At 37.3% G+C, this 26,788-nt stretch overlaps 1 protein-coding gene and 1 long non-coding RNA gene across 10 annotated transcripts in view; one reads left to right on the plus strand and one right to left on the minus strand.

Moving 5' to 3' along the window:
- Positions 1 to 1,822: 1,822 nt before the first annotated feature.
- On the minus strand, positions 1,823 to 26,738 carry LOC101928002 (uncharacterized). 3 transcript variants are annotated; one of them, NR_110072.2, is made up of 4 exons: positions 26,466 to 26,738; positions 18,761 to 18,884; positions 13,410 to 13,577; positions 1,823 to 3,775 (listed from the first exon to the last, which is right to left on the minus strand). It is a non-coding gene; the product is annotated as an uncharacterized LOC101928002 (long non-coding RNA). The 3 variants fall into 3 exon arrangements; NR_159972.1 differs by lacking the exon at positions 18,761 to 18,884 and having other exon boundaries at positions 2,713 to 3,775; NR_159971.1 differs by lacking the exons at positions 1,823 to 3,775; positions 18,761 to 18,884 and adding an exon at positions 10,510 to 10,759.
- Positions 26,430 to 26,788, plus strand: part of RAB3IP (RAB3A interacting protein) — an 84,963-nt gene continuing 84,604 nt past the window's right edge. For 4 of the 7 annotated variants that reach the window (XR_007063038.1, XR_007063039.1, XM_047428266.1 and 1 more), the window contains exon 1: positions 26,449 to 26,663. Coding sequence is in view for 5 of the 7 variants with exons in the window: in XM_047428266.1 (XP_047284222.1) it covers positions 26,539 to 26,663 (125 nt within the window). In the remaining 2 variants the exon portion in view is untranslated. Of the gene's footprint in view, positions 26,664 to 26,788 lie in introns of all 7 variants that reach the window. The other 3 variants (XM_047428268.1, XM_017018775.2, XM_006719226.4) reach the window with 3 other exon arrangements.

Below are 26,788 nucleotides of genomic sequence, written 5' to 3' on the forward strand. Positions count from 1 at the left end.
TGAGTTGCCCCTGGCCCTTTCCCTTCCTAGAGACAAGATTCAATCCCAACAGGGAAATGGTGGGGCAGTAGGTGGTGGAGGATTCAGGGTGGATCCAGCGGGATGGAATTTTCTGGGAAAGTGTTGTCACTCCTATGCCTGAACGACAGAGGGGAGGGAGAAGTTACTGGAACTCAGAGAGATTAGCTGAATGAAAAGAATACTGGACAGTATTCATGGCTTTCAGGGGCAGGATGCAAGCAACCCACAGCAACCAAGCAGCTGGAGCAGGTAAATAAATCGTCTAATTTTACTTCCTTTCTGCCTTCTGAGCTCTTGCCAGGGCCTCCCATTGACTGAACCCAATCAGAAGCCACAGGGGGAGGGAGCCCATTGATACAGTTTAAACATATCTACTTCTAGTGCCCAGAGCAGGGTGGAGAAGACTGGAGAGTACATCTGGAGAAATAAAGGTAAGGTATCCAGCGTGAAGATGATCTACTCCACCCCTCTCATTTTGTAGATGAAAAAATCCTCAAAGAAGTGAAAAGATTTATTCAAGGACACAATAAAAGGCAGTTTGGTAGAGTTGAAACCCATTAATCTGCAAGTTGGAAGACAGGTTCTAGTCTTGGATGGGCCACTGCCCTGGGCTTTAGTTTCTGTATCTATGAATGAATGGAGGCAGACTAAAGCAACGGTCTTCAAACTGGGGTATCCATACACCTGGGTTTACTTAGGAATTTGTAGGAGGTATAGGGTATGGATAATTTTAAGTGAATTATTTTCCAGACCCACAGCTTCCTTACTTATATTGTCTTCTAAAATTAATCTGCTTTTCCCTTTCATAATCATCCTTCTCCCACTTGACACAAGAAAAGCATGCCTTTCATTTATCATACATATGACTATAGTGCATTACCCCAAGGTGTGAAAATTTTGAGACACCAAACAAAGGGGCATTTTGAAAATGCATAGCTTTTGAGACAGATTCCTCTTACAGTACACCAGACAGCTTCAATTAAGAAATACTGAAAGGGGCAGCATTTACTCATGGCAAGTATGCATCGGTACATAGTCTTTCTGAGAAGGGTTTGTATCTCGCAAATGAATGTTTCACATTTCAAACATAAGGTTGGAAGTGGGTCTTTGTTCATTTAGGAGGAAAGAAGATTCTAATCTGATTCAGATGATGAGCAGCTTCTAGGAACTGGTTGTGCCACATGCCAGGCTGACTGGCACAACCAGGAGTGATGATATGTAATTATCTCTACCTCTCATACACATGATTTTATTCTTGTATAGTGCTCTGTCTTCACAGAAAAACCAGTTCACAATGCACTAGATGGAGCCAGGAGTTTCCAAGACCAGTTGTCACTTCCCTTTGAATATGTTTAAACTAGGACACAGCAATTGCCACACTGGGTCAGGCTTATGTATCACTCGTCCCACTCTGTTGTCTATTCGGAGAGCAGCAGTGGTCTCCTTGGTGCTCACCTTAAGGTTAATAATTTTCAAGTTTCTTTTACTTGCCAATTATGACTCTGCCTTCCTTACATTTCTCTATAATTGTCCCTCCAATTCTTGAAAATACTATTATTTTGTTAAAATGACAACATGCTCACTAAAAATGCAAACAAATTAGGGAGTATAAAAAGGAAGGACAAAAACATCCCAAATTCGACCAATCAACAATAACTGTTAACATTTGGTGACTGTCTTTCTATGCCTAGACACATTCTCTGCCTAGATACACATGTATATTAATTCCATAAATAAGACCATACCACACATGCTGTGCAATAACCTGCCCTTTCCCTCAACAATGTGTAATCCGTATGCAGCATATCATATATGTTTTATTTATGTGCTCAACACTCCTTTATTGAAATCCATTTGGATTACTTCCAATTTTCCACTCTCTCTATGCCATGATGAACATCCTTGTGCATATTTCTTGTCATACTCTGAAAATATCTGTTTGAAGTTATGAATTATATTATTTTTGGATCATAGGCTCCTTCAATAATCTAATGACAGCTGTAGATCACCTCCCTTCCAAAACACATGTCTTTGTATAACTCATTTTGTCTTTGATGTTTGTTTTTGTGGTTCATAAATATGCCCCCTAAAATTCATCCTTGGACTTGCTAAAGATCCATGAGCCCTAAATTAAGAACTGCTACTTTAGGGTTAACTCCAAGACATGTAAATTTTAAATAACCTTTAAAGTAGTTTATGTTAATTTATCACTTGTGTGAACACTCATGTGTCCCTCTGCCTCTTTTAGTTGGTGGGTTCACCCTCCAGTCTGTGCCCAACTCTGGAGGTTTGGTGATATAATAAGTAATCAGATTATATAAATTTCCATTGACTACCACAGGGGCTGAAGGGATTTTGAACACAAAGCAATGCATTCAACCTTACTTCATAGCCCTTAAGAAAGTTTCATAAGTCAAAAAGTTTTATGAGGCCAAAAGTTTCATAAGGTGAAAAAAATGAAAAAATGTATTTGAGTCTTTGCTTCCTTCATTCAACAAAAAGATACTGAGTAACAGCTTTGTGCCAGTCCTGATTCTAGGAGCTGGGGATACGCAGATGAAGACTAGGTTCTGCTTTCAGGGAATTCCAGGTCTAGGTGGGCGAACAGACATATACACAAACCATTGTCAGGCAGGCAGAGATTATAGTTGGCTATAATGAGCAGCATTAAGATAAAAGTATGAAACCGCATTGTGTACTCAGGTCATCCTCCGTGAGGTTTATTAGCAAACATGCTTCCTTCACACGGCTCATTCTTCATCCCCACCCATCTGAATCTTCTTTCCTTCTCTCCATCCAATATTTATTTCACTTCTCAGGGAGACTTAATCTAATTTGAAACTCAGTAATTTCTAGGGTGGCTGAAGTGAATCAAGGAAGCTAAAGAATGTAAAAAGTACTCAGGACACATGTGGCAAGGCTACTGGATGACAACATTCACTTTGCAGATTTGCAAATACAGATGGCCTAGTAATTGAGTTACTCCAGCAGATGAAAAATAGAAGAAACTTCAAGTCAAACTTACACGTGTAGATAAGTAGATTGCTTGCTATCCAGTGGAGTGTATAATTATTATAACCACAAAGCAATAGGCTATCTAAGAAGCTTATTTTTGTGGTTATTATTATTATTATTTGCCAAAGGTACTTTATACCTTTCGGCTCAGACTTACTCAATAGTTGAGTGCCCTTAGAAATAAGCCATTTTATTTGTTTCCATCACAGCCCAGGGATCTCTTCAGTAGCTTGATTTTCTTTTTTAATTTCTTTATTGAGTTTTTCGGTTCTAGCATTTCTATTTTTTTAAATAATTATTTATTGATGCATAATAGATGCGCATAGTTTCAGGGTATAGGTAATAATTTAATACATTCATATAATTTGAGTCAAAGATCAAATTAGTGTAGTTGAGATATTCATCACCTTAAATATTTGTCTTTTCTTTATGCTAGAAAGAATTTCCTTTTGAAATAGGTGAATCTAGCCTATTTGCTGTGAGTTTGATGCCATTTGGTCCTCTGCCTATATCCATTCCTCTCATTTTTTCACATGTTTTTATTTTTCTTCTTCCCTTGCTGACCACCATCTTCTCTTTTTCTAAGCTTCTCACATTCAAATTGTCATTCACTGGTAAATTCTAGGTCTTCACATTTGCAACTTTCTTCAGTCACTGCTTACTTGTCTCTATGAACCAGGCCCTGGGGTTCCGAGGACACAGCAGGAAACCATCCCTCAGTTAAGGTCTTTTCCTGTATCTGGGAATGAGAGGAAGGAGGTGAGGGTAACTATTTCTCCCAAATTCTTATTTCTTAAGGACGGTACTCACGCAACTATTTTAGTTATGTTGATTTCCCTTAGAATTTTGATTCATGGTTATTTTCAATAAATATTGATTTTTTTTAAAGAAAATGTTTGGGGTGTGTGCACTTTACATTCAAAATGAAAGTATCTGTTGATGCATAAAATGTGTTTTTAATACATGTATTAATTATTTACAAATATGAGTCATAGGCACCTGAAATCAAGCATTCAAGTCTATCAAGAACAGAATCCATGGTATTTAAATAGTACAAAGGAGGATGGCGGTAACATCTGTCAGCATCCCCGCTACACTTCTGGGTTAGACAGTTTTTTTCTAAGGATTCTTCATGATACAAATAAAAACATTTAAAAATCTCTACAATATTTCTTGCACATTCAGTGCCGACAAAAATGTTTTATGTTAACATCTCATATTACTTAATTTGTTTTTGATGTAAAATGTAACTTATTTCCCTTAACTTTTTATATTTCATTGATGTATTGTGTTTTTCAAATCTAGTTCACACTTACAGCCAGAGATTCTCTTTTAGGTTTGAATAGTGTTTTATGCTATGTTTTCATAATTAGTATAACTTCTGTTTTCTCATTAGTCAAAGGGGGATCACAGTAAGGTTGTCACAGGATCATAGGGTTGTCATGAGGTTAAATGAATCAATACATATAATGGTATAATGACAGCAACAACAACTAACATTACTTGCATACTTCCACAGGCTAGGCACTATGTCATGTGTTTTACGTGTATTAACTCATGTACTTTTCCCTACAACTCTATATGGTAAGTACTATTATTATTATACTTTTTCTCTGTACTGTTGAGGAAACTGAGGGCACAGAGCATTTGAGTAACGTTCCTAGGTTACAACAGGTAGCAAATGGCAAAGCTGGGATTAAAATTCAGGCAGATGGATTTCAGAGCCTGAACTCATCCACTGTGCTCTACTGCCTCTCGGGTAAGATAATACTTAAAAGAGCCAGGCTGTGGATAAGTAGGAATTTTTATACAAATTGAAAAGTAAAACCTGGAGAATATGAAATGAATTCTTTTTATCTTGCTAATGCTCAGTACAGTCTGGCTAAGGCACCTCTAGTACTTAATGGCTGCTATTTTAATAAATTTTTCAGGTCTCTTTCTTCCCTCTTTTCCTGAATGTTCTTAAACATCTGACTTCAGGTGGAATACCAGTGGAATGAACGTGAGGATTTTAATCAGAAAGGGTTCTACTCTTTACCAGCTGTGTGGCCTTGTGCAAGTCACATGCCTATCTGAACCCTTATTTTCTTATCTGTTCAGATGGCAATAATACCTAACTTCAGCTTCTACAAGAGGAGGCATGAAATAGCTAAATATTAAAACACAGAGGAAGGCAATCAGGAAACTTAGACTATGAATACAGAATATGACCCTCACTGACTGGGACCAAGAACATTGCCTTAGATGCCTCCAAGGCTCAGGGTTCCACCAATTCTCAATGAGGATGGAAATTAATGTCATATCGAAAACTGTATATTTTCCTCAATCCTTAATCCATGTAATAATTCCTATCAGATCTTGTACTTTTTTTTTTTTTTTTTTGAGATGGAGTCTCGCTCTGTCACCCAGGCTAGAGTGCAGTGGCATGATCTTGGCTCACTGCAACCTCTGCTTCCTGGGTTCAAGTGATTCTTCTGCCTCACCCTCCCGAGGAGCTGGGATTATAGGCACACACCACCATGCCTGGCTAATTTTTGTATTTTCAGTAGAGACAGGGTTTCATCATGTTGGCCAGGCTGGTCCTGACCTCAGGTGATCCACCCGCCTCGGCCTCCCAAAGTGCTGGGATTACAGGTGTGAGCCACTGCGCCCGGCCAGATCTTGTAATTTTTATCAAGTCAAAACATGAAGAACTCTTTAAGGTAATTTTATAGATATTTAGAATTTGTACTTTTAGTAACAACTCTGGTGTACAAATAATATGAACAAAAATATAGAAAATGCAATTAGGTTAGTCAGTATATGGGAAAATGCTAGGTCTCTGTAGAAATCAAAGAAATGCAGAACGAAAACCATATGTTTCATATATGAAAATATTCAGTGCTGGTGAGATTCATATTTATTTTTGATGGGTGTGTAAACTGAAGAAAAACCTGTTGGAAGGCAATTTTAAATATGTAACAAGAACCTAAAATATGTTCATTTACTTTAAGATAATTTCAGTTTCTGAAATCTAGCTTCAAGAAATAACATGAACTACCAAATGAGCTTTTAGTATGAAGTCTTCATTGTGGCATTATTTATAATAAGAAATCGGAAGCAACTCAAATGCCCTACGAACTGGGAATAGTTAAGTAAACAAGGTGTTTCTCACATAATAGATTACTGTGATTAGGCTTATAAACAATTCATAATGGGATGGCAAAATATGTGTAATATAATTTAAGAGAAAAGCAGGATAGTTAATATAGTACGATCACAATTAAGTCAAAAATAGTTGTACAAATACAAACATTTGAAAAAATACATCAGAATGTTACTAATGGTTATTGGTGAGGTGATGATTAAGGGTGATTTATTTTGTTTTCTATTTTTCTATATTTTTCTAATTTTTTGTAATGAGCATGTATTATTTTACAATATTAAAAAACAAAGCAAATGATATGAATAAAGATTTTGTTGGTAGGGTGGGCAGTAGTATCTGTTCTAGCATGATATCTTAACAAGGCACACCATTCCACAGGCTTTCTGTGAGAATTAAATGTTCGACTATGTGTAGCAGCAGCCAATATATATTGCATGTATTAAGAAACTGTTATAGAAAATTTAAACTTTACAGCCTTACATAAAAGATAGTAAAGTGTTTTGTGAAACTTTTTTTCTTACGTTTCCAGAGAATTTATAGTTAAGAATTTCCTTAATTAGCTAGCTTTCCTATATATTTGAAATTTCATTTATGTAACATGCAACTTTTCAGGACTTCTTTTGTAATCAATTATCATTATTATTATTATTATTTTTAAAGTTTTCACCCCTTGTTCAGTGGTGAAATGTAGAGTCCTGGTTTACACCTGTTGTCCTGGTGTAATTATTTAATAGCGCCTCCTTTTTCTCTCCTTTTTCTCCCGGACAATAGTTACATGGTCACCCTAGCAATATCAGATATGGGGGGAAAGGGAGAACAAATCATATCTTCTGGATGCTGACTCTGGAGTGGGGGTGAAGGGGGGCGGGGTGGGGACAGCTGGCTCCTGACAACCAGCATGCAGAGAGAAAGAACTGCAGCTGCACCAGAAGCACCCTAGTTGCCTATAAACACTGGCCCACGGCTGTATTACTTAGTCTAATCAGTCATATATCTATTACTTGAAAGTGATTCTGACAGCATTGGCTCTATCTGAAGGTGGAAAAGAAAATCTATCTAATTTATTTAAGATACCACAGACACACCTGCCCCAGGTGTTCTTTTCCACCAGCCCACTCTGGAGCTCTGCATTTTTACCCATAGCGTTATTATAATTAAATGTGATCAAAATAATTAAAATTCTATCTGGAGAGAAATAGCCCCAAAAGTACAGAGGCAATAACACTATTAAGAAGTTAGAAGGATCCTCATTTTGACTCTGCTCTTCCTAGCTGGATGACCCTGGGCAAAGTATGTAACTTCTCAGTCTTTTCAGCAGCAAAAGGAGGAAAATAAAACCTGTTCTGACTATATCATGGGAGTTGGAGTATGAATAAAATGGTTACTGTAAGTGAAAATGCTCTGTAAATACAAAAGCACTCTGCAAATATCAGAGACTATTAGTATTATGAAGTTACTAAAATAAAAAAGCACATTAGCTGAGCTAACAGCCTTGAAACACAATGAGCAACTCCTGGGGGAAAAGACACACAGCTGACCAGACACACAGCCCAGAGTAAGTCTTTGGGAGGGGTGGAAGTGGGAAAGCTGCTAAACATGGTGCAAAAGGCTTCTAGCCCCAGGGAAGGAAATGACAGAAATCTTGCTTTGACAAGTTTTTTTCAGAGCTGGCTTTGCTAGGAAACTAAGGGCTAAAATGAATTTTTGATACCCTTGGTTACTGTTCTCCCAATCCACTCCCCTCCAATTCTAGAAAATAAACTCCATGTGGGTGAGGAGTTTTGTCCCCTTTCTTTACTGCTAAATTCCCAGCACTTAGAACATTTCCTGGCACAAAGTATCAGGATAATTCATATTGCATAAGTAAATATAATTTGCCTGTGTCACCTGTGTTCTCCATTCATGCCTGTAATTTAAAGTTGGACAAGTGTTGTTATTGCAGTTCTGGAGCTACTTAAAAGGAGACTTAGACCAAGTTTTGGATACAAGGCCTTGATCTAGGTCACAGAATGATAGCTCTCACTTGTAACTGCTATTTCCACCACTAACTTTAATTCTTTGGTCATATTCTGTTGAGAAAACTTAAGAGCACCATTTCACAAGGGACCTGGCAAAGACATAGCAGATGCTTGGCAGACATGTCCACTCAGCATGCAGGACACCTCTGGAAAAGCTGCAAGAAGAAACCACGCTTCAGAGTAGCCCACTGCAGGAAGAAAGGGGAGGGATTTTTTTCTCCTTGGTACCCTCTCATATCCCATGGGCCAAATTTCACCCCCTAAAAAGATAATTTCCTATATTTCCAGCCCTTGGCAGACACTCAGGAAGCCAATCCTGCCCCCTGCCCCACTTGCTCCATAGTGTGGCATTTCATCTAAACCTAGAAAAAGAGTGACAACTCAATGCTGATAGGGCTCAGCATGTCAGGACTAATGGCCATGCAGGCTCAGGGTTCCAATCGAACTCTGGCCAGCCCTGGGAGCTCAGTAAAGGCAGTGGTTGTGGTAGGGGTGCAATAGGGGTGTGGAGATTACTTTCAGAAAAAAAAGAGGCAGTAGAGAAAATCTGAGGAGGTGCACAAAGATTGCATCCAATACACTTGTTTTGCAAAACTGAATCGTATTTTCCTGTCCTATTTGCTTATTTGTTAAAAGCTCCATTTTTTTAATGTTAGTATTTTGAGATCAAACTTATCCTTTTTAACAAATGCCTAAGACTCAAGAGAATGGATATGCTATAATTTATTTTGCCATTTCCCTATTGATGGACATTCAGGTTGTCTCCCAAGTTTTACATTATTGTACGAGTCTTTGGGGAGGACAGCTTTAACGTACAAGAATAATTTGAAAAGAAAGATCTTATTTTTAAAATCAGTCACCATGCCTGTCTGGAGCTTTACTGATCTGATAGTTGTGACTGCATTAACGATGGCCCATTGCACTTTGCCCTGGCTCTGGCAGTTGAGCTTATGCCCCTGACTGGGATCTGCTAGCTTTTCAAATGGAGGTCTGTGACATTGATAAGGTATGCTTCTCTCCCAGGAGGCTCTGAACCCTGAGAGGAGATTGTTTTTTATTTTTGCATATTACCAAAGCTTTTCCATTTGAGTTACTTTGTTAGTGAATAAGTGTCTTGAATGGATAGAGAAATAGAATTCTATGGATCAGACTTTGCCCAGCCTGGTTTTGTGAGCCCTATCGTGGAGGCAGATGAAATTAGTCAGGCAATGGCTAAAAGGTGAGACCTTGGGAAGACAGGTCACACTGCATTCCCTGACAAGGGGTTTCAAGTGTTCATTGATAAGAAAACCACCACCACATGGGAAATTTTACATGTCTTCCACATCAAAAGCACCTCAGTTTTCAGGCTTGTTTTGGAGGAAAAACTTTTGTCTTTTGTTTTTAATCTTGTTAACGCTTTGACATCTTGACAGTTTTGAACTTAATGATCCCTTATGGGAAGGAACAGGAATTCCATCTGCTTTTTCTATTTTCTAGGCAGCAATTCCTTCTCTGTCTCCAACTCACTGCTAAGCCTCTGAAGATCACTCTGGTACCCTTCCCACAGTTACCCTAAAATATTTAACTATAGCATTTCTGAAATCTGCAAATTTTCCTGACTTTAATGAACCCTGTTACTTTATTTTAAAAGTCAACTAACCCCTTGAGATAGTAATTGTATTACAGAATACAAAATATTCTTTCTTCTAGTACCCTTTTGATTTATTTATCAAAGAAGCTTAATAACATAGACTTTGCTATAAAACAGAAGGCAAATTCTGCATGAAACTGTTTAAAAATTGATCAGACCAAATAGACAGGACAAAATTCTATGTAATCCAGCCCTGAAAGGTGCTTGACTAGTAATGTTGAGTGAACCAAAGAGTGCTTCCAGACTCTTAAAAAAAAATCTAATCTGACCACTAAATTTAGAACCAGAACAATATGTTTCTATTTTACATGATATTATTTAATGTTTTTGATGTAAACATGTTACACTGTTGATTATTTATCACATAGTCAATAATTCCAGGTAAACAAACAGCAATATCTATCTTTTAGTTATGATATCCTAATAATGGAATATATTTTGTGATTTTTAGTGGTAAAATAATTTTGTAAATTATAAACAGTACCTCCTAGATTCAGTGACTGTCTACAATTGAGAAAGACCTAGAACTTGCCTATTCTTGGAATCTACACTTGGGTTCATTTCTCTTTAAAATGATGCACGTTTCTTTATTAATCAAAGTTGTATAAAACCACCTATCACACTTCTGGTCGGCATTGAGTTCATATTACATCAACTCAAAGCTAGAAAACATAACATTTCAGTTTGCTTGTGCAGTTTTATTAAGGATGGATGTACAATTGCTACGTGATATCTTTTTGAAATGTTGAAAATAGTTCAATGAGCTCCATAACTACTTTAAGAGTCCTCAAGGACCCAGAGATCTCCAGGTTGGGAGCTACTTCCTTAGCTAAGGGTTGACATGGATTCTCAGATGGCACTAGTGTTGTGATACTTGTACCTTGCCTAATAGTAGTGGCTGTTGATACCTCATCTTCTCAAAGTGACCTAAAAAAGGTAATTTAATAACTATTATTCAGTTTCTGAGTCAATGGCAAAAAACAAGAGAGAGTGATAAGAGGGAGGTTGAGTATTTATTTCCAAGGTTCCTCCCTTGCTGTGTCACCACCACAGGCTGGCTGCACCTTCTGGCTGAAGGTGACAGCTCCTATCAGGCAACCCTCTCCATATACTTCTTTGTTTCCTGGCTCAAGTAACTGCTCCCTTCCTTAAATACATTTTTTAATTTATATATATATGACAGAACTAATGGACTATATATATAAATATATATATATATATTTATAGATAAAGGGGAGTTTATTGAGTATTAACTCACACAATCACAAGGTCCCACAATAGGCCATCTGCAGGCTGAGGAGCAAGGAGAGCCAGTCCAAGTTCCAAAACTGAAGAACCTGGACTCTGATGTTTGAGGACAGGAAGCATCCAGCATGGGAGAAAGATGTAGGCTGGGAGGCTAGGCCAGTCTCTCTTTTCACATTTTTCTGTCTGCGTATATTCTGGTCTTGCTGGCAGCTGATTAGATGGTGCCCACCCAGATTAAGGGTGAGTCTGCCTTGCCGAGTCCACTGACTCAAATGTTAATCTCCTTTGGCAAAACCCTCACAGACACACCCAGGGTCAATACTTTGTATCCTTCAATCCAATCAAGTTAACAGTATTAACCATCACGGGGCATCAAAGGGAGTAAATTGGAAAGACAGAAAGCGAGATGTCTGGGAATAGAATGATGAAACTAAGATAACTAAGTTATTGATAATGACACAATCTAGAGCATGACCATAGGGTGAGTGACTGAGGTATGGTGGAGAACAAGGTTATTTGAGCAAAGAAGTTAAAAAAAAACTGACAAACTATGGTGTTGGAAGGATCACCTACCTTAGTTGTTGAAATCTCTAAGAATTAAGACTAAAGAGAGATATTATCGGACTGGAGCTAATAGCATTGAGAAATGAAAAAGACTGACCCAGGTGTCAATAGATGACAGCAAAAATGAACATTTTTGGGTGAGTTAATCTGATAACATGCGATTTAACTTGGGAGAATTTTAGGGAGGCAAGTGAGAAAAGTCTGAAAGTGGCAACGAGGAGCAAAGAGGTGGCCTTCCCCAAATGTAGGCCCAGATATATAAGGACAGTGGAAGAAAAAAAGCAGCCACTATGTAAGATGGCTTCAGGGGAAGCATATCCTCAGGAGAGAGCTGGTTTTCTAGAGCAAGAGGGTGAATGAAATGTTCAGAGAAGAGGCTAAGGATATAGGGGATTTGGCTGGTGATGGATGAATTCCAGGAGGGCACAAAGGAAAGACATCATTCGTTAATGATACAATGTTCACAAGCAGTCCTTTTACTGGCCTTGTGCCCATTATCTTTTGTTACCTAAAGTTCATCTTTAGTAGTTTTCCTAAGAAGGTCTAATAGAAACAATGCTAGCCGAATTTTTGCATATTTTAAACTCTTTGTAGTTTTTATACTTGAAAGACAGTTTGGCTAGACATAGAGACTTTGTGTCCACTTTTTCTACTTGAGTATCTTGTATACATTGCTCTAATGTCTTCTTGGAACAGATGTTCTTGTGTAGAGATTTAAGGACAGCCTGGCACTTCCCTTTATAAGTGGTTTGATTATCTGCAACCTCTACAAAGGATTTGATTGATTATCTGTAACCTCTCCAAAGGATTATTTCCTTTTCATTGTAGTCAGTAATTATGTCAGGTAAAATGTCCCTGGCATATACTATATCCTTTCAATAAATAGGTGTACTTTTTTTTTTTGAGAAAAGTTTTCTTCAATCATATCTTTAAGTATTTGTTTGTTCCATTATTTTGGATCTTTTCCTTGGGGGCACTAGTTGTAAGTTTTTTTTAAAAAACCTCCTTTGCCTGTTTCCTGTATATATTATTTTGTGTCTAATCCTTTCTATTTTTCATTTCATTTTGCTTTTTTTCTCTTTTCTCTATATTTCTTATTATCTTCCCTTATGTTTCTTTTCTTTCTCACTTCCCTTCTAATTTTGTCTTTATTTCTGTGATGGTTTTGTTTTTTCTACTACTTCTTTTCTGAATTCTTCCGTTGCATTTTATCACCTCCTATCTCTCTAAATCTTCCTCAAATTCCTATGTTTATGTTTTATAATTGTATTTTTATTGGGGTTATGGTCTCACTCTTTTCTCTAATTCAAGGAAAGTTATTTCTAAAAATTTCATCTGCCAAAGCTACCATTTCACTTGTAAAGCATTCTTCATCTGTTAGATTTTGCTCCTTTTTCTAAAATTTTGTTATTGTTTCTTTGTATTGGTGATGTGCTACTTCCTTTCCCTTTCCTATTTATTATCATTGAGTCAACTGGGTCTTCCTGGACCAACTATTTGCAAGAGTTCTGGTATGTATGGGAGCAAGGTTAGGAAGAAGCTGTTTTTGACTAAGTGCAGACTCACTTCTCTGCTGCCACATGAACAGACTGCTTCCTGTGAATATGGCTTATCTGTGTGATTCTTTGTGTAGTCTCACTTGCACTGTCTTTTTGAATCAAACTGGGTACAGGGGACTTTTGTTGCTAGCATGGTTTGCCCCGGTTCCCACATCCACTTTTGTAAACAAGGATAATGTTTCTGTAACTCAGGATATGTCTCTTACCTTCAGGAGTTATACTTTTGCTTGCAGTGTCTAGCTGAACCTTCTTGCAGCTGAGATTGGTCTCTGTGTTTTTCCTATTTTTTCCTATACAATTTCTGCTCAACCTCAGCTGATTTTGTTAACTCTTATACATGTTTTAGAACCTGGGCAGTATATTTGTGTTGTACTCTGCAAAAGAAAAAAAAAATGGACTTGCAGATTTTGGAAGGTGGGGTTTGTGTTTTTATCCTTTTGTATCCAGAATGATTTTCAAAGATAGAAAAGTGAAAATACAAATATACCCACTCATGTTCATGCCAGAAGTCTTCTCTAACTCTTTAGAATAGTAATGTTCACATTTTAGGAATAATTAGAAATCTATAAGCATGTGGCCTGATTTCTCTCCTAATCAACTCTGTTAATAAAAATGCATATATAGCCTACCAAAACTAGGTATGACTCATATCTCTTGGCTAGATGTTACTCAAAGCCTAATAATTGGGCTGGGAGTGGTGGCTCGGGTCTGTAATCCTAGCACTTTGGGAGGCTGAGGTGGGCAGATGACCTGAGGTCAGGAGTTTGAGACCAGCCTAGTCCAACATGGTGAAACCCGGTCTCTACTAAAAATACAAAATATTAGCTGGGCGTGGTGGCAGGTGTCTGTAATCCCAGCTACTCAGGAGGCTGAGGCATGAGAATTGCTTGAACCTAGGAGGCAGAGGTTGCAGTGAGCTGAGATTGCACTACTGCACTCCAGCCTGGGTGACAGAGCGAGACTCCATCTCAAAAAAAAAAAAAAAAAAAAAAAAAAGCCTCATAATTGCAATACGCTGGAAATTTCAGGACCCCAAGAGACAGACCAATTAGGAGTATGTGCTGTTCATTTACTTCTTATAAAATATCAGGCTAAGCAATATTCAGGTATTTCTAACACTGTTTCCAACTCTTTGCCTCAAGGTCAGGTTCTACAATTACCTGAATCATCTGGGCCCTAAGTTGGCATTGCTAGCATTGAATTGGGGACAGATGCCCATTTCTTGTGGCCAAAAGTGCCTGCTTGTCTGGCAAGAATAATTTCACACAGGGATGATGTCAGAGTATTTTTGGTCCTGAAAGATACTTACTTACCTGATTCAGAAACTTGTTAATTAATTTTGATTATGTCAATGATAATCCAGTTATACATGTGACTAAACAATTCTTGAACCGTCTAGACTGTATTCAGGTAGCATATAGCTGAATTTCTACTCCAAATTTTTGTTTCTGATAGTATGATTGCTATCAGTCTGGATTTCAGTAGTTTCATGGAAGAATAAAATTTAGGATAATTTTGTGATTCATATACCACTACTCAAATTCTAATTAAATTTTGTCTTTTTTGATAGCATGTTTCCCTTTCAGGTCTGTGAAATTAAATTCCTCTTGCAATCAAGCTGCACAGATAGGGGAGACACTTGGTAATTCAAACACATCTTGGGGTTTGCACACCAAAAGCAGCTGCAGAAACTTAAAGTATGATTCATGTTCATCAGAATATGTCTTCTAAAATTCGGACTTTATTTCTACCAAAATAGTACAGCAACTCCTCAAAATCTGTAATTCCATTAAGCTCAAGGCGGTTGACCTGAGCTCAACTCATATGCCTGGTTTATGCCTGAGATTTTTACTTTCTGAAACAAAAGCCCTTCCTTTCCCCTGTGATTTCAAGTTCAGTATATTCAGATGTTTCATCAGAACAAGAAAGCACAATCTCTTGGGCCCCTGAATGTTGAATAAGTTGGGCCAGTGAGAGCTCTTTAATTCCCCAAAGTTCTTGACCTCAAAACATCTCTTTAACAAGTACCCATAACCTACACTTCTGACTGCATTCAAATAAACCCAGACTGCATACGCTGTTTTGTCTTTGCCCAAACTGATGACGGTTAGGAGTACAGGCATGAAGAATGTTGACAACCATGATAATTTCTATTCTTAGACCAGGAAAAGCTTTCTTGCAAAGCTCAAATGAAAAACACACCCGATGAATGATGCAAGGAGCATCAGACCACTTTAACGCTTAAATTAGTATTAAAGCATTTCTCTCCTCTTTCACTGTAGATACCCCACATACAATAAACATCCATGTTTAGACCAAACTTCTCAAATTCCTTTTTGAGATAGTCTTTGCAAAGCTTCTGTGTTCTACCTAACCAGGATCAGTTAGATCACATACTGGATACTGCTGCTTTGGAGCATTCCATTCCATATATTTTGCACATGGGATGTACATCTTAAATTTAAAATAAAAAATATTTTTACATTGTTTCTTAAGTAAGTGTGTGTCATAATGGTTTTCAAACTTTTTTTTTTCCAAGCTGGAAGTTCAATATGCAAATGAAACAAAAGAGAAGCTAGCTGTAGTTAAAAGGAGTTGAGAGAAAAGACAAATATATAGACAGAAAACAGATCAGTGGTTGCCTAGAACTGGGTTAAGAGTAAAATTATTGCAAATGGACATGAAGGATCTTTTGGGGATAATGGAAATGTTCTTAAACTGGAATGTAGTGTGGTTGCACAACTCTAAACATTTGCTAACAATTATTGATTCATATACTTATAATGAGTGAATTTTATGGTATGTAAATTATACCTTAATAAAGTTAATAAAGAAACTAAATATAAAATAATGCAGGATGGCAAGAAGTTGTTGGAGATATAGATGAAGCAGATTGGTACTTCATTGATAATTGTTAAAATTGGAAATGAGTGTGTACAATCTTATTTCACTCTTTTTCTTCATTTGTGCTCATTTAAATTTAAAAAAAAGAGCTGAATTTAAAAAATAAAAAATAATAAAGGGGGCTGAGAATAAAGGAGCATTTCCCTTGTCCATTAGAGACAAAATTTTTAGGCCTATCTGAAGCACCTTTAGATACTTAATCAATGTTTGTGACTAGTCTATGGTACATGAAAAGAAAATGTATTATTCTCGCTCACATATTTATATAAACTTATAAATATATAAATGTACATATACAATCTACCTTGCTAATTATGTTATTTAGGCCTTCTATATCCTACTTAATTTTTGACAACTTGATCTGTTCTGGATGAGATAAATTAACTAGTCATGTTTTCTGTGGATTTCTCTTTGAATTTGATGTAGTTTTCCTTTATAAATTTCAATTTTATGTTATTTGGTACATTGATATTCATAAGCATGAAATCTTAATTTTGCATCTCATGTTTTATAAAGTGCCTATCTTTGTCTTATTTAATACTTTTTTCTTGAATTTAACTTGGAGATAAAATCTTGATCTTGGTTTTAATTTGCTTGGTATGCCTTCACCTATCTTTTTATTTTCCACCTTTCTAAATCATTTTGTTTTCACTGTATCTTATGTATATAGCACAAGGTTGAGATTTGCCCTGATATCCCAGTTGAGAAAATTAATTGAAAATTTTCAGTGCTCATTGAAAAGAAGGTCATGTCATCTTTTATCTTACTTTACCTATCTTTTGTTTTTTTGTTAGGTTTTGTTTGTAGTGCTCATTTATTTTTCACTATATGGCCTGTATATATATTCTTTGTGTATGCATGTGTTTTGAACTTGAAAGGTTTGCATTTTTGTTCCAGTGGTCATCTTAATAACTTTGAAACTACTTTTTATATATTATTGAAAGCATTGAACAGTGTATTTCCTGTTCCTCACCTCTTTACCCTCTAATTATATTATTTTTGTTATGTTTACCTTATTTCTTTTCTCTTTCAGCTTTTGTTGGTTGTTTCATTGTGATATTGTCAAGACTTACAACGGTTACTCTCTGTTCTATGACCATAATTCTCAACGTTATTTTAGACTTACTTCTATAGATAATGGATTTAATGATTGCTACCAGTCTCCTCTCACTGCCCATATTTCTAAATTCGTCTCTTTGGTGGTTGAAATTCATTCTCTATGAATATCCTATAAAAAAGGGCAATATTAAAACCATATTGCTTGCATGTTCAAAAGTGTTCATTATATTTTTATTTGAATAAGTTTCTCTGGTATGAAATCCTTGGGTATGAAACCTTTAGAATTACATTTTAATTTTTTCCCCCTTATAGATGTCTTGATCATTTTGCTCTGGATGCATGAAAGATCCTTTCATTATCTTTGAAATCCAGTAGCTATGCTAGACTAGGTCTTGCTTTGATTATTCTTGACATTTTTTAATTTGGGATATGATATGCTCTTTCAATCTATAGATTTAGGTCTTTTATTTCTGGAAAGTGTCTCAAAATATTTATCTGCTTTTTTTTTTTCCTGTTCCAACTTCTAGATTCTTTTGTTAGATTATATACATATTGGATTTCTTTTGTTTCTTTCCATTTACATAATTTTCTCTCTAATCCCTTTTTTTCATTTTCACTTCATTTAACTTGCTTTTCTCAATCTGGTATTTTGTGATTCTTAAAACATTTTTTATTTTGCCTTTTTTTCCCCCCTTAACAAGTGTTTATTCCAAGTTTGTGTTAATTTTGTCTTCATTTTTTAAATAGTTATTTTTTTCCTCTCCCTTTTTCAATTCGTATTTAAGTTCCTTTTGTGGTTCTGCTGCTTTTAAAAAAATTTTCAAGTGAAAGGACTTAAGAAAGTTGAGTTAGTCATACTTATTAGTTCATGCCACATTATCATAATTGATTCATGGAAGGCTAGTTTTATTTATTTGTGGTTTCCTTTTTATTCTTATTCCTATCCTCCCCTGGATAAGCAATCATACAAATGCATCAAATATGTATCTTTTTGTTTGCATATATTTTTGTAAAATGTGTATAGTTTTTATATACGCACTTTTAAAATTAAAAAAAATATTTTAGAGAGAATCTTACTATGTTGCCCAAGCTAGCCTCGAACTCCTGGGCTCAAGAGATCCCCAACCTCAGCCTCCCAAGTAGCTGGAACTACAGGCCTGCACCACCGTGCCTGGATGACTGATTACTTTTTGATTGATTGCTCATGTTTGGAGGAGAGGTTTTCCAAGAAATGCTGCTTGCAGAAGGTTTGTGCTGAGAGGCCTGGACCATGTTTCAGCCTAATAGGAATTCTGCTTATAATACAGAGGTTGTGTAGATGAGTTCCTTTAGCTTCTACTTTTAACTAAGAGAAATTGGCAATCACAGGGCTGCTCACATCACAGTCTATATATATTTTTTCCATTTTGCCTCACAAACACAATGCTTCCTGCATATGTGGTATGTCTGAATGATTCTTCTTCCAATGGCGCCCTACCACCTTCTCTTTTATGATAAACCAGGTTGAGGGAAGACACTGCTGCCTGTCCACATACTTGATTCCTTTATTTCAAATGAAAGATTGTTGGTTTTGTCTCTAAGATAAGTCACTTACTTTTGTGAAGTGTGCTTTGTTGATGTTGTCTTCTGCAGTCGGTAGGCATTTACATCTTTTATCAAAGTATTTCTGCCATTCACTGTATTTCACATATATTGTAGTTCAGGGTTTCAGGTATCTACTGTTTTCAATGAAAATGAATTTTGTATTATTGTCATTATCCTTGTTACTGAGTGATTTCTGGGAGGTGGAAGAATAGAGGATGCTATCTTTACTCTCTGGATACATTTTTAAAATCACTGTTTTATGTATATATTATGTTAACCCAACTAGATTGTAGTTTGGAGAATTTTCTGCTTTACTTCGTACCATGCATTCTTTACTGTTGATTCCTAAAGTGTCATAAAAATTGCTTCTAAAGTTTGTTGAAAAATTTCAGATAGGGCCCAATTCTTAAAGTTTCTGATTCATAAAGCCTGAGTTAACTAAGTATCTCAGGTGATTCTGATGCTAGTGGTTCACCAGCTGGATATTGTACCTAGTAGCCACTCAATAATTAACTGAATGACTTACAAGGGCATGGGTATTTATGTGAGAACGCTTAGTATAGGAAATAGAGTAGATATTGTTTTTATAAATAAGACTGGCTGAGGGTACACAGTAAATACATACAATTTTATCTGTCACTTTAAAAAATAAAAAACCACTGGCTGAGATAAAATATGCAGCAATAGTGGGGGTACTGAGGCAAGAATATTTTCCTTGGAGAATACAGAAACTTTTTCTATCTCGGAAATATTCTGTCATCTGTTTAATTGAATATTACCTAGCCCACTAATGACACACAATAAATAACTGATGAATGACAGCATCAAAATTGGGCAAACACTGAGAGACAAGACTCCCCCAAAGTAACCCAAGAAATACAAATTATCTATGTGTTTATGTGAATAATCAGGCAAATACTACCTTAAGGTTAATTTAAACAAAAGATGAATTGTTCGTTAATTTGTGGATGTGTTAGATACATCAAAGTGTAACTTCTTCCCTGTTTCTACTCGTACTTTTTTCATTTTAATTTTTATTATTTTTTAATTTTTTTTTTTTTTGTGGCAGACTGCTAGTTCTTTCTTCCTGAGCAGATGACTGCTGACATACAGACCAAATTTTCTGTCTTCCCTTATAGCCATGTTTGGCTATGTGATAAAGTTCTCATGAAGTAATGAGTCCTGCTTTATTTTTCTTCATAGCACATATTATTACTTGACATTATGTTATATATTTATGTCTGTATTGACTGTCTCTTCCATTAGAATGCAAAAGCTATTAAAGCAGGGACATTATTTTATTCTCTATCACTTTCCAAGTAGCTGAAAAGTATCTGGCATGTAAAGGACACTCAATAAGTAAAGGAATTCATGCATAATTATTGCAAAAATATAGAGATTAGGTATTACAGGATATGTGGACCCCAGTATTTCTATAATGAGGATGTAGTAAGCCTAATGAAGAATAGTTTATCTTGATTTGGGTTACCAGTTGAACTTGAATGACCACCCTCTGTGTGCATACTTAGCATTCATATTTGCAAAGGGAGGGGGACTGACTGGGTTGATTTCCCTCGAAGGAATAGAGGATCCCTACTGGGGAGAGCTTCATGCCACTTCTAAAGTTTGGCCTCTCTCATCTTCAATCTAGCCACACAGGGTTGCTTTTGGCTCAGGTATCTAACCAGGTCCAGTTATTAGTGGTTAACACAGCATGGTTGGTTTCACTTAATGTACAATGGCATGAGTCACAGCAACACTATGCAGAAGACCATCTATCCTCACAAGAATATGGTGAACATTGCTGCCACTCCCATGCTTTCAAAATAAATACTGTCTTTTCAAAATAGTTGCTTCATGGGAAGTTGTCTGTATTTGTGTTATATGTATCTCAAATGTACTCAACAACATTTTTTAGATGTCCTGTTTTGAAGTTCAGGATGATACAATGGAAATATATAGACTAGTATTGCAAAGACCTGGGTTCAAGACTCAGCTTTGGGACATTTTAGCTCTGTGACCTTGGATAAATCACTTCCTCTTTGGGGGTCTCAGCTTTCTCATTTGTGAAAATAGATGTTGAGGGGAGATGACTTAAAGGTCTCTTCTAACTCCAATAATCTATGACTCTAATTATTTTCAGAGTTTTCATGGCATTACTGTGAACATTCCCAATCATACAGAAAACCTTTTCTTTCCTTTTCTTTTCTTTTTCTCCTCCCTCCCTCCTTCTTTTTCCTTCCTTCCTTCTTTCTTTTTCTTTCTTTCCTTCTCTTTCTTTCTTTTTTGAGATAGAGTCTCGTTCTGTTGCCCAGGCTGGAATGCAGTGGCCTAATCTTGGTTCACTGTAACTTCCACCTCCCGGGTTCAAGCGATTCTCCTGCCTCAGCCTCCCTAGTAGCTGGGATTACAGGCACCCAACACCACGCCCAGCTAATTTTTATATTTTTAGTAGAGATGGGGTTTTACCATCTCTTGGACAGGCTGGTCTTGAACTCCAGACCTCAGGTGATCTGCCCAACTCAGCTTCCCAAAGTGCTGGGATTACAGGTGTGAGCCACTCTGCCCAGCCCCAAACATCCTCCTTTGAATGTAGATTTGATTTTTTGGAACAGATAAAATTGATCAGAGCCAAGTCTGGGTAATACTATGTATGGCAAAGGTAGATGATACTATCTTTAAAACTTGGAATTCTCATTGATTCCTTTCTCACCTTTATTTCTATATATTCAGTTGCTAGTGGCAGAAAACCCTACATAATCTGGCATAAGCGAAGATAAAATTACTGGTTCATGTAACTAAAAATTCCAGGGTCTCTGGCTTCAGTCACAGGTTGATCCAGGAAGTAAAATGATGTCATTAGGACTCACACTTCGTTTTCTTCTCTCTCAGATCTGCCGTCTCCATGTTAGTTCCATTTTTAGGCATATTCTCCAATGGGGGCAAGATTGTTGCCAGCAGCTTACATTTGATTTTCTCAGCAATCCACATAGATTCATTTTTCCCAACATTAACCCAAAACTCCCAGAACTGACTTTTATTGGCTCTACTTGAGTCATTTGCTTATCAATGAATCCATCACAGAGACTAGGATTCTCTGATTGGTCAAGCCTGGGTCACATATTCACCCCTGGAGTTGGGGGAATTCAGTTCCACTGGAATCATACAGACTAAATATGGTGGAAAGATGCTTCTCCAAGTAACATCAATGTGCTGATCTCAAAAAGGTATAATGGACGCTGAGTAAGCTCTGTGTGTGAGTGTGTGTGTGTGTGTGTGCATGAGAGAGGTGTGAGACATCTAATCACTTGTTGCATTAGACATCCTTTGAAATGTTTCCTCTTCTCTGTTTTGATGAAGTATAGGCACTATCTCATTGTAGCTTCCTATCTAATTTCCTTGCCTGTAGTCATTCTCTCCTCAAATATATTCTAGGCATTGCCAACACAAGTCTTCCTAAAGCATTGTTTTGATCATTTTACTCTCCAGCTCAAAAATCTTTCAGAAACCTTCTTCTATCAAATTCTATATTCTTCAGCCTGGCATTTATGATCTTTCCACAATCTGGCTCCTGCATATCTTTCCAGGCTTATCTATCCACCTGCACTTGTTCCATGAGCCAACTAAGCTGCATTGCTTACCATCTCTGAACACACTGCATGTTTTCCTAACACCGCCTTTGTTCTATTTGTATGTTCTACCCCATCACCATTTCTCTCATCCTAAGTCTCATGCCAGGTGATGAAGTAGAGACTGCTAGTTCTCTTTAATATACGTTCTCCCCTTCTTCATTAGTGTTAGAACCACTGATTTTTAGCTGGGCACATGGCTACCCAATAGAGACTACACTTGACCAAGGGAGCATAGTGTAGTGATGTATACAACTTCTGTAAGTGGCTTAGAATAGACACGTGTGTTCCTTTCTGCCCCTACCTCCTTTATGCTTGCTGGAAAAAGGATATAAGGAACTTGAACAGCCATGATGGATCATAAGGTAGAAGCTGCATTTCAGGATGGTAAAGCCACATGATGGAAGGAGCCCATGGATCTGCTGATTAGAGAGTCACCTACACTGATGTGAGAGTAATACATTTTATTTTCTTTAAGCTACTGTTACTTTGAGCTTTTTAACTGCTACAGAAATCAATCCCTGTATGAAAATATATAGTTTAGGATAATTTTCTGGTGGCAGTAATAGGAATCATTCAAAGCTATGTAAAGCAAAAAAGGGAGAATTATTTTAAGGACAGAAGGATTTCTCACAGAACCTATGGGAAGGGATGAAGGAAGCCTCAGTAATAGAGCGATAGCTGGAATTAAAAAGTAAGGGGAGGCCAGGAAGCCCTCTCACTGTGTCTCATCTCTCCTTCTCTTCCTTCTTACTGAAAATTATTTACACAGTTGTCACAGAGAAGCTACAAATAAATATTTGTTTGATGGATGGCAATTTGTGTGTGTGATAAACTGGATCTAAAGTCAATTCTCAAAACGTTTTGTTATATATATGTAGCTTGTTAAAGTGATTCTTTTGAAGGGGGGAATCATACTTTTTAGAGTCTAAGCTCTCTCTTAAACCCTTTCTCTCAGCTTTCCAATTTTTCCCAGTCACTTATTCCAACATCAGAAAGGGGGCCTGAAATACAGGATTGTCCATAATTAATATCATGACAGACACTTTTGAGATTGCTCTGCTTTTTTACAGGAGTTGCAAAAGTCAGTTTTTATGAGAACACAAGCACTGGCACTCACTGACTATTTTGGCAGACAAGGAAATGATAGATTAATTACTTTTGGTACATTTTTCCCATAACTGTCTTTTTTTTCCATTTCATTTTTGCATTGTTACTATTTACCAGTCTGAGTTCTCACTTACACCTAGTTTTTGCCCTTCAGGGTTTCTTATATTCTTGCCAACTCTTTGATATGCTTGATAAGATGTTTTATATATATTTATATATATTGCTTTGGGTTTGAGAATCAGCCAGAGCCTCTAGTCTGCCATACTACTGGACACAAAAGTTCAATATGTTTTCACTTCATTCGTTTATAAGATATTAACCTGCATTCCAAACACCAGGGCCCTAACTCTGGTGGCCTAAGCTCCCCATCCACAAAAATGAAGAATAACTACCTTTCCACCTGCATCAAATTGTTTTTTGTACAAGACTCATGTAATCATTAACATGAAGTCAGTTTGCAACTGGAAAATACCATGAAAATACATTTTCTTAACTCTGAAAACAAAACAGAGGCAAACAAGTAATAAAAGTTATAACTAAGGGTAACAACCTTAGAATGGTTTGTTCAATTTACAATGTCTATATATTTGCACTCATCTGCTTTTTTTCTGGCCCAAGGTATAAATGAGAAAGTCTTAAGATAAAAAAAAAGCAATATTATTTTATACGTTATATTTGACACTAATTGTATAATTTACATTTTTAAAAAATAAAGAGAAAAAAATAAAGAGAAAAAGGCAACCTTGAGCACACTATAAAATCTTTCACTCTTTTTTTTTTTTTTTTGAGATGGAGTCTCACTCTTGTCACCCAGGCTGGAGTGCAATGGCGCGATCGGCTCACTGCAACCTCTGCCTCCCGAGTTCAAGTGATTCAAGGTTCAAGTGATTCTCCTGCCTCAGCCTCCCGAGTAGCTGGGATTACAGGTGCCAGCCACCATGCCCGACTAATTTTTTATGTTTTTGGTAGAAATGGGGTTTCACCATGTTGGCCAGACTAGTCTTGAACTCCTGACCTCAGGTGATCTGCCCACCTCAGCCTCCCAAAGTGCTGTGATTACAGGTGTGAGCCACCGCGTGCGGCCTTTTGTTTTGTTCTTTTGAGACAGGGTGTCACTCTGTCGCCCAGGCTGGAGTGCAGTGGCGTGATTTCGGCTCACTGCAGCCTCCGCCTCCCGGGTTCAAGTGATTCTCCCACCTCAGCCTTCCAAGTAGCTGGGACTACAGGTGTGTGCCACCATGCACAGCTGATTTTTTTTTTTTTTTTTGGTAGAGATGGGGATTCACCACGTTGGCCAGGCTGGTCTCGAACTCCTTACCTCAAGGATCTGCCCACCTTGGCTTCCCAAAGTGCTGGGATTACAGGCATGAGCCACCGTGCCCATCCAAATCTTTCACATTTTTAAATTTTGTGAAATAGCTGTCCTTTTTATATATGGGTAAGCTATCAAACTTAAGATGCTCACAGCCCTTTACATACTTTGTAGGCTGAGATTCTGAGTGTCTAATATTCTGTAATGTATCTTGGTCTCTGTGCTGCAAGAACACTGAAGTATTATTATAGGTAACAATCTATATCACTCTTCTCAAACAGCGCTAACAGGTTAAGTATTCAAGAGGAACATCTTTCAGTATATTTCAAAAAGCCTCATGGATGGTAGGTGATTTGTAAATGGACCAACGCAGGACTCAGGCATATATGGTTACTGCTTACTATTTCCTATAGATCATGATGTCTTAGGTCTTATGTAGAATATATCATAGGACTTGTCCTCTAAACATTCACATACCAAGACTGCACTCTGCATGCATGCCATTCACTCATTCTGCATTTACTGAGTCAGTCCTACTGCATGTCAGACCTTGTGCCTGTTCTCAAGAAGCTCGCAGTCCAGGAAAATGGAGAAATACAGATACAATTATAACTCTATGTGATAAGTGTTACAAAGAGATACGGTGTTATGGAAGCCCTGGTAGGGGCACTTAGCCCATACTGGAGTGGCTGGGATAGGGCTGAGTGGCCAACAATAGGGAAGGGTTCACAGTGGAATTGATGTCTAGGCTAAATAATGAATAACAAATAATTAGCAAGGCAAGGAAAAGGTAGGAGATCAAGACATAAAAATAAACAGCATATGGAAATACAGGGTTGTATGTGAGTACGGCAAGACTGGGGAGCCTAAGTGGTTTGCTGTATATTTAATTTATTCATTTCACGTAGCTACTATTGACATACTTGTCTCCCTATATATGTTTGAGTCCGTGGATGGTGGGGACTTTGTAATGGTTTCTCTGTCCCTATGTCTAACAGGAGGCACACAGATGGAGTGCAATAAAATGTCTGATGAATAAATGACCAGCTATGAGGTGTAAGGGAGAATAGGAATCCATTAATGAGAAAGGTCATTTCTAGTGGCAATGAATATCAGATAAGATAGATTTAAGAATTATTTAGAAATTAGGATGAATAAGACTTGGTGATATATTGGCGATGGGGTATAAAATAAGAAACACTGGCTTTCTAGGTTTCTGGATTACAGATGCATGATAATAGTTATAATGGTATAATAACAATAGCTAATATTTATTAGGCACTCTGTGTCATGAAGTACGCAAAGTGTTTACATGAATTAAGCCATTTAAACTCTTAATGACTCAGTGAGGCAGGTTCTGTATACTCATTCACTGATGAGAAAATTGGGGCTAGAGAGATTCATTTGCCTAAGGTCACTCAGCTAGCAGGTGGCAGGCTCAAGCCCAGTAATTCTGACTCCAACAACCATACATATAGTCTACTTTTCTTTACTGCCTCTAATAGATGAGATTAATACCCAGAATGATGGTCCTATTCAATAAGTGTATCACACAAATGCACGTTTCTCTTTTGCTAAACATAGAGACACATACTATGACTACCTCTATTATTATTATTTTTTTTTGATTTTTGGGATCTTGGCTCTTTCTGTATTTTTCCTACCTGGAAGACCTAAAGTGGGGTAGAAGTTTGATAAAACAGTTGGCACAAAAGATGAGAGAAGACAGGTACAGACATGACATTCTCGAACGCTCTGGCAGTTGCTGGAATGATGGGATCTGGGTTCTACAGGATTCCTCCCCTCCCATCTCCCGCCACACACACACACGTCGTAAGGTGTATATGGCCGCGGAGTCTCAGGTTGGTTCTAGGAGTCCTCAACCCACGGCAAAGGTGCCTCTTCTCCCTCCTGGAGAGCCCAACATGCTTGAAGTTAACCTGAGGCCGCCTCTCGGGCCCGGCGAAACAGAGCGCGGGCCCGACGA

The sequence above is a fragment of the Homo sapiens genome, chromosome 12 (genome assembly GCF_000001405.40).
Source record: "Homo sapiens chromosome 12, GRCh38.p14 Primary Assembly".
In the NCBI taxonomy this organism is placed as follows: domain Eukaryota; kingdom Metazoa; phylum Chordata; class Mammalia; order Primates; family Hominidae; genus Homo; species Homo sapiens.